The sequence below is a fragment of the Homo sapiens genome, chromosome 3 (genome assembly GCF_000001405.40).
Source record: "Homo sapiens chromosome 3, GRCh38.p14 Primary Assembly".
Classification (NCBI taxonomy): domain Eukaryota; kingdom Metazoa; phylum Chordata; class Mammalia; order Primates; family Hominidae; genus Homo; species Homo sapiens.
Window position 1 is genome coordinate 183,638,871 of NC_000003.12, and position 13,290 is coordinate 183,652,160.

Sequence of the window (13,290 nt, forward strand, 5' to 3'; positions counted from 1 at the left end):
TTGGCACATCTTAAAGACTACTAAACTGGTGTTTTAAAAGTAGGCTTTGGCTGGGTGCGGTGGCTCACGCCTGTAATCTCAGTACTTTCGGAGGCTGAGGCGGGTGGATCACCTGAGGTCAGGAGTTCAAGATCAGCCTGGCCAACGTGGTGAAACCCCGTCTCTACTAAAAATACAAAAATTAGCCGGGTGTGGCCGCAGGCGGCTGTAATCCCAGCTACTTAGGAGGCTGAGGCAGGAGAATCACTTGAACCGGGAGGCGGAGGTTGCAGTGAGCTGAGATCGCGCCATTGCACTCCGGCCTGGGCAACAGGAGCAAAACTCCGTCTCAAAAAAAAAAGTGGGCTTTACTCTTAACTGAGGTTTCCAAAGGCTACCACTGTAAATAATTCGTGTCACTACTAAGATAAATATAAACCACTGACTATGTGCTTTTATTCATAGAGAAGTCATGTAAAATATTAGATCTCAAATTTGTGGCCGGGCGCGGTGGCTCACGCCTGTAATCCCAGCACTTTGGGAGGCCAAGGCGGGCAGATCACAAGGTCAGGAGATCAAGACCATCCTGGCTAACACGGAGAAACCCCGTCTCTACTAAAAATACAAAAAATTAGCCGGGCGTAGCGGCGGGCGCCTGTAGTCCCAGCTACTCGGGAGGCTGAGGCAGGAGAATGGCGTGAACCCAGGAGGCGGAGCTTGCAGTGAGCCAAGATCGCGCCGCTGCACTCCAGCCTGGGTGACAGAGCAAGACTCTGTCTCAAAAAAAAAAAAAAAAAAAAAAAATCTCAAATTTGTTCAGGTGGCAGAGCTCCTTGCTGGCATCCTTGCAGATTTAATTAAAAAACCAAAACCGGGCTGGGCGTGGTGACTCACGCTTGTAATCCCAGCACTTTGGGAGGCCGGGCCAGGTGGATCACCAGGTCAGGAGTTCGAGACCAGCCTGGCCAACATAGTGAAACCCCCATCTCCACTAAAAACCAAACAAACAAACAAACCCAGAAAATATTAGCCTGGTGTGGTAGCACGCTCCTGTAATCCCAGCTACTCGGGAGGCTGAGGCAGGAGAATCACTTGAACCCGGGAGGTGGGGGTTGCAGTGAGCCAAGATTGTGCCACTGCACTCAATCCTGGGTGACAGAGCGAGACTCCATCTCAATAAATAAATAACCAAAACCATTTTTCTAACAGAAAACATAACTATATCATATATCTATAGGTGTTTTGATTATCAAATAAAACAATGCATTAAATACCTAAAAGAAACATGTTAGCAAGATAAAACCAAACAACAGTAAATTTACACATCAAGTCTAGTCAGAAGCATGAGTAGGCTCAATAGGGCAGCTTGGTATACCACGTGTGATGTCTGATGGTTAACAAGTTTTTTTCTTCCTTTAGGGTTGGGGAATATCAGTAGCCAGAAGTTTTAAGTCGAGGGAGAGAAACACTGGAGAAATTCATATTTTTTTTCCTGTGATTTAAGAGACAATAGTATTCTTTTTTAGTTAAAGAACCATATTGTTTAGTCTGACACATTGTTTAAGCTTTCCTAAATTTGTCATCAACAGCTATCTGTTTTGTTTCTCATCAAGCAAAGTCATATAGTATATTGCCCATTTGAGGTTCTAATAAATATGGGGTAATCCATAGTTGCTATCATTCTATCCAAAGAAACTCAAGGTTTTAGTTGGTTTCTGTTACCTTTTCTTTTTTTTCTTTTTTCTTTTTTCTTTTTTTTTTTTTTTTTGAGACAGAGTCTTGCTCTGTCGCCCAGGCTGGAGTGTGATGGTGCCATCTTGGCTCACTGCAACCTCCGCCTCCTGGGTTCAAGCATTTCCGCTGCCTCAGCCTCCTGAGTAGCTGGGATTACAGGTGCCCGCCACCACACCCGGCTAATTTTTTTGTATTTTTAGTAGAAACGGGGTTTCACTATGTTGGCCAGGCTGGTCTCGAACCCTTGACCTCGTGATCCGCCTGCCTCAGCCTCTCAAAGTGCTGGGACTGCAGGCGTGAGCCACCTCGGCCAGCCAGTTTCTGTTATCTTGTGGTGGGTAAATATGGTCTTGGTGGTTCCATTAAGAAACTGGAAATGTTGAAAATAGCTTGAAGGCTGGGCTTTAAACATTACATTTGTAAAACATGGTCCAGGAACCACTGCTGCAGAGTAATTCTTTAAACTGAAATTTTGATAGTGCAAGTTTATGATTTTTAAAAAGTCATCAAATAAATTAGCTTTTGAGACTATAGGGTGAAAATATCTGAAATGTATAAAAATTGCTTGGTTTTGTATAGTACCTTATTATATATGATTTTCTGGTTATTTTTTAAATAAAAGATGTACTGGCCGGGCACAGTGGCTCACGCCTGTAATCCCAGAACTTTGGGAGGTCGAGGCGGGTGGATCACAAGGTCAAGAGATCGAGGCCATCCTGGCCAACATGGTGAAACCCCGTCTCTACTAAAAATACATGGTGGCGCACACCTGTAGTCCCAGCTACATGGGAGGCTGAGGCAGGAGAATCGCTTGAACCCAGGAGGTGAAGGTTGCAGTGAGCCGAGATCATGCCACTGCACTCCAGCCTGGCAACAGAGTGAGACTGTCTCAAAAAAAAAAAAAAAAAAAAGATTTACTATATTGCAATTATTTTCTGACTTTCTTTCTTTTGAGTTACTATATATCTTTCAAGATAAACCTCTTGGTTAACCTTTCTTTTCATCTCCTGTGGTGTTCTTTCAAGGTTAAATTTGAGAAAATGGAGTAGCGTAGAACATAGTATGCAGCAGTTCTCTACTACAAGTTTTAGGGGCCATGCTAGTCAGGATGTTGTTGGTTCCTTTGTTTTCTGGTATTAGTTTTTAGAAGCCCCTCATTAATCCATACTATCTTTAAGGATGTTAGTAACCTCATCGTATAGAATTTCTGCATTCTAAAGGAAACATAAGCTTGTTTCAGTACACTCACGCTGTAGATTAATTCTGATATTACATATCTCCATCAGACTTTGTACCCTCTCTCTTCCATCCCTTACCCTTACCGATTAGGTTGGTATTACCTAAAAATCCATAGAAAATGTCCAGGTGAATTGCCTTATGCTTTCTACCCCATAAGGTATAATTCTAGACCAGATCGGTTATGAGAGGCTCTATTCCAGTCTGCACCTGCTAAGAATTTGAATCTATTTTAGTACCAATCTTGGAGTTCTTGTTTGGCTCTACTCTTAGCCAACCCCACAGAGTCTAAAATTGGATCTGAATCCAGTATTTGCCAGCCAGTGACAGACATAAACTAGGTTCTTTATAAATGTTTCATGAATTGACCTGCATCCCTGCATTGATTCAGGATCTTATTGTCCATTGGGAAGGAAGATTTACTTAGCTAGGAGTAACAATTCCCAAATTTGCCCTAGTTGCAATATTTTTTTACCAAGGGTACATACAAGTCAGGTTCACTTCTGAAAGTAAGGAAACACAGGATAGCATTCACTTGATGATCATAACACAGTCTGGGTATACATATGTGTTTGTGTGTATACATTTAAAAAAAAGGTCGTTTATATTTGGTTTTGGAATCAACTTTTGAATTTGTCTAAACTTGTTAAGAATTTACAAGTTCTATTTAAAGATATCTGGGCCAGAAACCAGAACCACTTGTGTTTAAATACTATTGCTATTCTGTACACAGCTCAAGGTTCTGGTATTTTCTCTTAAGCATTCCTCTTCTCCCCTTCCACCAAAAAAAAAAAAAAAAAAAAAAAAAAGGAATTGTGCCGAATTAGTTGGTTTCTATGGGGATATGGGGATTAAGTTTCTACAAGATTCAAGGCAGAAGAAATATACATTTATATATTAAAAGATAAAAAAATTATTTGCTAACTCTTAGAATTATTTAATGGCCCCAAACTTGGATGAAACATCAATTTCCAGACACTCTTCAAATATCCAAAGTGTATTCAAATATCACAGAGTGTATGTTTTTTCAGTGCTACCATTAGCTTGCTATTGACATTAATTTTCTTTTACTCATTTTTCACTCAAGAAATTTTACTGCAGGATAAAACTCCAGGATAAAACTGTCAAGTGCCGGGCACGGTGGCTCATGCCTGTAATCCCAGCACTTTGGGAGGCCGAGGCGGGCGGATCACCTGAGGTCGGGAGTTTGAGACCAGCCTGACTAACATGGAGAAACCCTGTCTCTGCTAAAAATACAAAATTAGCTGGGCATGGCGGCACATACGTGTAATCCCAACTACTAGGGAGGCTGAGGCAGGAGAATCGCTTGAACCTGGGAGGCGGAGGTTGCCGTGAGCCGAGATTGCGCCATTGCACTCCAGTCTGGGCAATAAGAGCAAAACTCAGTCTCAAAAAACAAACAAAAAAACTGTCAAGTAAGGAAGTTGATAAATAAGAAAAACTAGTTATGTAAAATAGCATTAAGTTATTAATTTACTTTAAGGAGATGTTATTCACTAATTATTTTTAAACAAAAACGAACTTCAGTTGGAAACTAGAAATTACTAAAAACTTTGTTCAACATATTAGTAAATAATGCCAGCTGTACATGAACTGACAACTATCTGATTTATATGTTGCTATTCTTTCTTTATTTTAGGTGTGGAAATTAAAAGAACACACATATTTTGACTGGGGCTTTGATCAACCAAATGCTAAAAAGGTATATTTGTAATATTTATAAACTATCTAAATGTTGTTATTAGAGAATTTAAACCATATTCCTTTCTTTAACCAGGGATCACTTAAGCCAATCAGATAACAAGGCACAACTCTATCCTTAAGATCACAAAAGATGGCAGTGTGACAATCATTTCTGTTACTAAATATTTACCCACTCTTCTGTGCTTTCCTGAGAGCCTCATTCATGTCTGATCAACTTATATACATTAACTCATGTAGATATAACTTTAAGTCATTATGTTTGTTTGGAAAGAAGCTTTTCCTACTTATTTTGTCTAGAGATGCCTACTTAGTTGTTTACTTTTTCCTGATGGGAATAATTCTGCTGTGATATTTGCAAAAATGTTATAATGGTTCAATCTGTAATCTTACGTTTTGTTTGCTTGATTATGCATCATGAGTTCATTTTGATCAATCTTGAACCTATATTAGTCACCGTACTTTGAGATGATAGGATAACATTTTTCTTTCCTTTTTTTTTTTTTTTTTTTTTTTTTGAGACGGAGTCTTGCTCTGTTTCCAGGCTGGAGTGCAATGGTGCGATCTCGGCTCACTGCAACCTCCGCCTCCCGGGTTCAAGTGATTCTCCTGTCTCCTGGGTTCAAGTGATTCTCCTGCCTCAGCCTCCTGAGTAGCTGGGACTACAGGCGTCCACAACCACGCCCAGCTAATCTTTGTATTACTTTATTGTATAAAATGGGAAGGCAAAAGCTAGCAAATTTCATGTGGAAGCCCAAAAGATACATTCTGAATGCATCTCACACTCCTAAGATGCCCTCCTGCAAATCATTTATACATAGGAAGTGTTTACATTTGGTGTAGTTACGGAGACCAGTAATTGGAGAGTTCCCAGAAAATCCAGAGGAAGTCAAGATGCCCAAAAGTCAGGAGGCAGCAGGCTGAAGCTGTTTGGAAAGATCTATGAGATAGTCTCTCTTACATACAGAGCAGTAAACAAATATCTCATTGCTGTTGAAGACTTTGTAATACAAGGTGATTTTATAGGTGTTCTAGTCCAGGATTTTCCATTTTTTATTGGGTAAAAGTAGTGGAGAGGAAGACCTCTTTTGTCAGTGAACAAATCAAGGAGCCAACTATGAAAATAAGGGGCAGATAATAGCATAAAAAGACAGACCCTTAATTGATACAAAGCTTAATCAATTTTATATTAATACTTAACTCACTGTTCTCAAATTTATCTAATAAATATTAGATAGAATAAAATCATTGAATACATAAAACAAAGTATACTTTTATATTTGTTTTTCTACTTGTCCATTCTAGCCAAAGGGAAATTCTTAGTTCTTACAATGTGCTATTTTGTTTTGTATTCTGAACAAATTTTCATTTAAACATTGAGAAAGTGAAAATGTATGCAGGAAGAAGCTCACGATTTCCATTGTTGTTAATACCAATAATTGTATCACTAGTCAAAGTCACAATCACTTGTGTGAATTTTTTGAACCTGAAATGCAACAGGAATTTAAACTAGATTAAGCTGGAATGAATAGTAGGTTCTTGATTTGGGTACCTGACTTGTAGCTAATTCAACCATAATTTGAATCTAGATTAATAAGGCATTAAGATTAAAATATGAGTTATATTCCATGTCATCACAGTTTATGTTTATCATAATTGAAATGTTCCCTTTTTTAATTACTTGTGATATTACATACATTGAACTTTTTGAAGTTTCACCAACAACAAAAAATTGACATTCAGGTACAGTAGTGATCTCTCTTGATATGGGGGATACATTTCTGTTTATAAAATGGTTATTGAGATAACTTCAAATTAAAAGCATATTTGATAGATACGCTACTGCTCATGTGTGGGAGCCTGGAATTTGGAAGTCATTCTATGCATTGTAAATGGAGTTGTAAATGTTAAGCTGTGTGTATGCACATGCATCCAGACATCCACACAAATATATGGGCAACTGTAACCCAAGTTGGGTGACGTATAATGAAGCAAACATGAACTCTGAGTAATCAGAAAAATCTTAAAAGAGATGGGAAGAAATCCATTTTTTTTTAGTTAGTGATAATAAATTTTAAAACTAATAAAATATTTTAAACTCAGATATATTTTTATTCATTTAGGTATTAAAATTAATAAAATGAAATAGAGCTTTTATTTGTTCTCAGGCAAGTCTGTTACCTAAAATCTGCAAAACATAATTGGGTCGAAGTTAAAAATCTAGCTTGTTTGGACCATAACATACATGTAGAGGAAAATATTTCCTCAAATTTAAGAGAAACTAATTTTCCTAACTAAATTTGTGGGAGTTACTTTGTTGACATTTACTCCGAAACCAGCCATTGGTAAGCATTGTCTTGTGTTTATCTTTACTTTTATATGTGTTCATTTAAATAGGCCTTCTCCATGAGCTTCCATTGCCATAACTATTATATTACATCACAAAGCTTTGTTATGTATTTAGAAAATGCATGTATATTTGTACATTTGAAATTTTCTGGGTTTTTTGTTTTGTTTTTTTTTTAACTTAGAAATGAGGGTGGCCAGGTGTGGTGGCTTATGCCTGTAATCCCAGCACTCTGGGAGGCTGAGGCAGATGGACCACTTGAGGTCAGTTCAAGACCAGCCTGGCCAACATGGTGAAACCCCGTCTCTTCCAAAAGTACAAAAATTAGCCCGGCATGGTGGCATGTGCCTGTAGTCCCACCCGCTTGGACAGCTGAGGCAGGAGAATAGCTTGAACCTGGGAGGTGGAGGTTGCAGTGAGCCGAGATTGTGCCACTGCACTCCAGCCTGGGTGACAGAACAAGACTCCATCTCAAAAAAAAAAAAAAAAAAAAAAAATCAACATACTGCCTCTGACTCTCCACCCTAGTGATTTCAAATGAAAATATTATTTATTTCACTTTAGTCTTTATTCCATTTGACTGATAAAATTGCTTGGATTTTTTCTGACTTTACCTGCACATTTGGGGGATAGACAGAGAAACAGAAAAGATCCTGTATAGCATGCAAGCATTTAGGTGTCCTTCAGATGTTGTTATAGCCAGGTATTTTTCCCTGAATGGTCAGAATAACCTGGCATATATCTGTCCAGAGAAAATCCTATCACCTAGGCTTCAGGAAGGTTAAGTGCTAATTGATATGAAGAGAATTTTTAAAATGTAATAGAAGTTTAAGGAGGAACTAGGCTGTCTGTACCAATGGGACATATTGTCTGTGCTACTTTATGTTATTATTTATGTTGTTTGAATATGTTTTATTGCAACTCTTTTTTGTTGTTTTTTTGATGGAGTCTCGCTCTGTCACCCAGGCTGGAGTGCAGTGGCGCGATCTAGGCTCACTGCAAGCTCCACCTCCCAGGTTCACGCCATTCTCCTGTCTCAGCCTCCCAAGTAGCTGGGACTACAGGCGCCTGCCACCACGCCCAGCTAATTTTTTTTTTTTTTTTTTAGTAGAGACGGGGTTTCACTGTTAGCTAGGATGGTCTCGATTTCCTGACCTTGTGATCCACCCGCCTCGGTCTTCCAAAGTGCTGGGATTGCAGGCGTCAGCCACCGCGCCCGGCCTTGTTGCAACTCTTAAAAAAAAAAAAAAAGCTGGGCGCAGTGGCTTATGCCTGTAATCCTAGCACTTTGGGAGGACAAGGCGGGTGGATCACGAGGTCATATTGAGACCATCCTGCCCAACATGGTGAAACGTCATCTCTACTAAGAATATAAAAGTTAGCTGGGTGTGGTGGTGCACGCCTGTAGTTCCAGTTACTCAGGAGGCTGAGGCAGGAGAATCGCTTGAACCTGGGAGGTGGAGGTTGCAGTGAGCTGAGATCGTGCCACTGCACTCCAGCCTGGCGACAGAGCGAGACTCCGTCTCAAAAAAAATTAAAAAATAAAAAATGAAAAGGATTACGCCTGTAATCCCAGCACTTGGGGAAGCTGAGGCGGGTGGATCACGAGGTCAGGAGATTTAGACCATCCTGGTCAACATGGTGAAACCCCGTCTCTACTAAAATACAAAAAATTATCCAGGCGTGCTGGCGCGTGCCTGTAGTCCCAGCTACTTGGGAGGCTGAAGCAGGAGAATCACTTGAGCCTGGGAGGTGGAGGTTACAGTGAGCCAAGATGGCGCCACTACACTCCAGCCTGGCAACAGAGCATCTGAAACAAAACAAAACATAACAGGCTGAGCGCAGTGGCTCACGCCTGTAATCCCAGCACTTTGGGAGGCCAAGGCAGGAGAATTGCTTGAGCTCAGGAGTTCAAGACCAGCCTAGCTAACATGGCAAAACCTGTCTCTACTAAAAAAAGTACAAAAATTAGCCAGGCGCGGTGGCATGCGCCTGTAATCCCAGTTACTCGGGAGGCTGAGGCACGAAAATCGCTTGAACCCGGGAGGCAGAGGTTGCAGTGAGCCGAGGTCATGGCACTGTACTCTCCAGCCTGGGCAACACAAGGAGACCCTGTCTCAAAAAAGCAAAAACAAAAACAAAAAACTCCAATAGCAATATCTTACATCTCTGTAAACCCTAGGCCTAGTACAGTATCGTGACAATAGTGGGCATATAATAAATATTTGTTGATGATGATGATGGTAAAAGCTGCAATATTAAGTAAATTCAGTGAGAGAATTCATGAAAATTGCAAGTATCTAGTGAATATTGGAAGTAGGATATCTGGGGCATTAGAGTGAGAAGAGAGGATGGAGATAAATAGGAACATGAAAAAGAAGAGAATACTATATATAAGAGAATGAGTTGCTTCTTGATTTTGATGTTACGTATTTTATTTCCCTTTGTGTCACTTAAAAAGTGGGGTACAATTTAATATGCGACAGGGTACACAAAATGCAGCCTTAAGATGTTAACTTTCAAGTCTCAGTTTTATTTGTGGCTTGCGAATGTAGGATGGCATCTCATTTTTTAGATTATATTATCTGTGACATCCTTTAGCTGACTTCTTTTTGCTTGCCAGTCTTAGGCCTGAATGTCTGACTTGAAATATTTCAAGAAGTTGGGAATGGTAGAAGGGATGTGTATGAAATTCTGAGAGTATGGCAATAGATGAGGTACCCTGAGTGATCTTAAACCAATTACTAATACACTTTGAATCATGTATCAGCTTCTGAAGATGTGGAAAGGGAGTAGAAGAATCGCCTTAAAATTAACCTTAAAGAGAATTGGGCTGGGCACCATGCCTCATACCTATAATTCCAGCACTTTGGGAGGCCAAGGTGGGCAGATCCCTTGAGGCCAGGAGTTCAAGACCAGCCTGGGCAACATGGCAAAACCCCTTCTCTACCAAAAATACAAAAATTAGCCGGGTGTGGTGGGTACGTGCCTGTAGTCCCAGCTACTCGGGAGGCTGAGGTAGCAGAATCCCTTGAACCTAGGAGGTGGAGATTGCAGTGAGTCAAGATCGCGCCATTGCACTTCAGCCTGGGTGACAGAATGAGACCTTGTTTCCAAAAAAAAAAAGAGACACAGAGAGAGAATTGATGGCTATAGCCAAGTGCCTCAATCCATCAGTTACTTACTGAAAGTCATTTCTGAGGGGGTTTTGGGATGTTTCTTATTAGTGAAAGGGAACAAGACCTAGATAACATGCATGAAATTTTTTTAAATGAATATTAAATTTTATAATAGAAATTTTGGTAGAAAATAGAGAAGATAAATAAAACATTTTAGCATATGTACATCCTATCCCTAGATTCACAGATACATTATTTTTTCTGTTGGCATATGTTTTGTGATCTACTTTTTCACTTACTGTGTGGTTACTACTTCCCCATGTCGTTAAATAGTCATATATAATTTTTAATGGTTGCATAGACTTTGTTCTAGCCAGAAGATGTACTGTGGTTTGACCAATCCCCTCTTATAGGGCATTTAGGTTATTTTGAGTATTTTCTATCAATACAGCATTGGACATCTGCATAGATAAATCTGTCGACATAATTCTGATTATTTCCTTAGGAGAGAGTGCTAAAAAAAAAAAAAGGACTTGCTGGTCAAACAATGTACATATTTTTAAAGGCTATTGATAGATATAGCTAAATTCCTCTCTAGGAATTCTATATTAAGATAATAATTATTTCACCAGGCATGGTGGCTCATGCCTGTAATCCCAGTACTTTGAGAGGCTGAGGTGAGAGGATCGCTTGAGGCCAGGAGTTCAAGATCCCATCTCTACAAAAAGTAAAAAAAAAAATAGCCAGGCATGGTGGTACGCACACATAGTCACAGCTACTCAGGAGGCTGAGGCAGGAAGATCGCTTGAGCCTAGGAGTTTGAGGTTACAGTGAGCTATGATCATGTCACTTTACTCCAAACTTGGTGACAGAGTGAGACCCTGTCTCAAAATAAAAAAGATTCTTAAAAAGAAAGATAACTGTTAGAATTCTAACTGTAGTCAAATTGTGTCTTACACCATTCTGACTTAACTCTACAGTCAATAGTATGAAACTCAGCTCTGTAAATGGGGAGGAAACGGAAGGTTATTAGTAACTCACGAAGTACATAGTATCCTTTCAGCTAGAAAAGGGGAGCTTAAGGAGTACTATTGCAAATTACCCCAATGTTCTAATTGTTCAAATGCAAATTTTTGTTGATTAGTTTTTATTAACATGAGATAGTGCTGTGTACCCTATATGAAATATATTATGTGATTTTGTTGTAGTGTTTATATTAAAATGAAATTATGTGATTTGAATACTGAATTTTTTGCATATTGAAATGTTTTCCTTTTTTTACTTTTAGCCACATAAAGAAGATCCCTAATAGTCATTTCTCAACAATTATATAGTCAACTGATGTAACAATGGTACTAATATTGGGACGCAGACTAAACAGAGAGGATCTTGGGGTGCGTGATTCCCCAGCAACTAAGCGAAAAGTTTTTGAAATGGACCCCAAATCTCTGACAGGTCATGAGTTTTTTGACTTCTCTTCAGGATCATCCCATGCCGAAAACATACTCCAGATATTTAATGAATTTCGTGATAGCCGCTTATTCACAGATGTTATCATTTGTGTGGAAGGAAAAGAATTTCCTTGCCATAGAGCTGTGCTCTCAGCCTGTAGCAGCTACTTCAGAGCTATGTTTTGTAATGACCACAGGGAAAGCCGAGAAATGTTGGTTGAGATCAATGGTATTTTAGCTGAAGCTATGGAATGTTTTTTGCAGTATGTTTATACTGGAAAGGTGAAGATCACTACAGAGAATGTACAGTATCTCTTTGAGACATCAAGCCTCTTTCAGATTAGTGTTCTCCGTGATGCATGTGCCAAGTTCTTGGAGGAGCAACTTGATCCTTGTAATTGCTTAGGAATCCAGCGCTTTGCTGATACCCATTCACTCAAAACACTCTTCACAAAATGCAAAAATTTTGCGTTACAGACTTTTGAGGATGTATCCCAGCACGAAGAATTTCTTGAGCTTGACAAAGATGAACTTATTGATTATATTTGTAGTGATGAACTTGTTATTGGTAAAGAGGAGATGGTTTTTGAAGCCGTCATGCGTTGGGTCTATCGTGCCGTTGATCTGAGAAGACCACTGTTACACGAGCTCCTGACACATGTGAGACTCCCTCTGTTGCATCCCAACTACTTTGTTCAAACAGTTGAAGTGGACCAATTGATCCAGAATTCTCCTGAGTGTTATCAGTTGTTGCATGAAGCAAGACGGTACCACATACTTGGGAATGAAATGATGTCCCCAAGGACTAGGCCACGCAGGTGAGAAGACTGTTTTCAAATATAGTTAACAAAAGTTTTTAATATATCTTTAAACCTCCTGAATGCAATCTCAGTGTTGTCATTTATATGCACTGTCTACCTGTGGCTGTATATAATTTTAGATTTATTTTGGATTATATGTCACTAGAATGTCTTTCCTAGTGAATTCTAGATTCAACAGTAGCATTTTTTGTTATTGTTGTTTTGTGCTATCAAACAGTGTAGCAAAGGGTCTTTGCAACTGTGCATATCTCAACATATTTCTACTAATTTCTCTTAACCTTTGTAGGGCCCCAAACCATTCCACTTTTCTTTCCAAAGAGTCTTTGGATACAGGGTAGCTAAGATTTTAGTAGGCTCTCTTGGACTGCCTCTACTTATAAAAAAACAATTTGCTCCTGGGCACAGGGGCTCACACCTATAATCCCAGTACTTTGGGAGGCCAAGGTGGAGGAGCGCTTGAGCTCAGGAGTTCGAGACCAGCCTGGGCAACATAGCGAGACCTCATCGCTACTAAAAATAATTAGCCAGGCATGGTGGCACGGACCTGTAGTCCCAGTTACTCAGAAGGTTGAGGTGGGAGGACTGCTTGAGCCCAGGAGTTTGAGGATGCTGTGAGCCATGCTCTTACTGCTCTCCAGCCTGGGCAACAGAGTGAGACTCTGTCTCAAAAAAAAAAGAAAAAAAAATGTTTGCACATCCACAGACTGGCCTTTGTCCTAACACAGAAGCATGAAATATAGAGGTGAATTAAATAAGCTGGTATACATTGAGTGAATTCTGAGATGTAAAATCCAGGCCTCAAATATTACTTAATTGTCACAGTTATTATATTTAATGTCAATCTCAATTTTAAAAAATCTTTTTTCTGAATGTGAAAATTA

At 39.6% G+C, this 13,290-nt stretch overlaps 1 protein-coding gene across 28 annotated transcripts in view; it reads left to right on the forward strand.

Annotated features, from left to right (window-relative positions):
- Positions 1–13,290, forward strand: part of KLHL24 (kelch like family member 24) — a 48,897-nt gene that overhangs the window by 3,248 nt on the left and 32,359 nt on the right. For 14 of the 28 annotated variants that reach the window (NR_146170.1, NM_001349418.1, XM_005247552.3 and 11 more), the window contains 2 exons: positions 4,610–4,672; positions 11,426–12,406. Coding sequence is in view for 24 of the 28 variants with exons in the window: in NM_001349418.1 (NP_001336347.1) it covers positions 11,487–12,406 (920 nt within the window). In the remaining 4 variants the exon portion in view is untranslated. Of the gene's footprint in view, positions 1–4,036; positions 4,386–4,609; positions 4,673–5,215; positions 7,017–11,425; positions 12,407–13,290 lie in introns of all 28 variants that reach the window. The other 14 variants (NR_146169.1, XM_017006655.2, NM_001349424.1 and 11 more) reach the window with 3 other exon arrangements.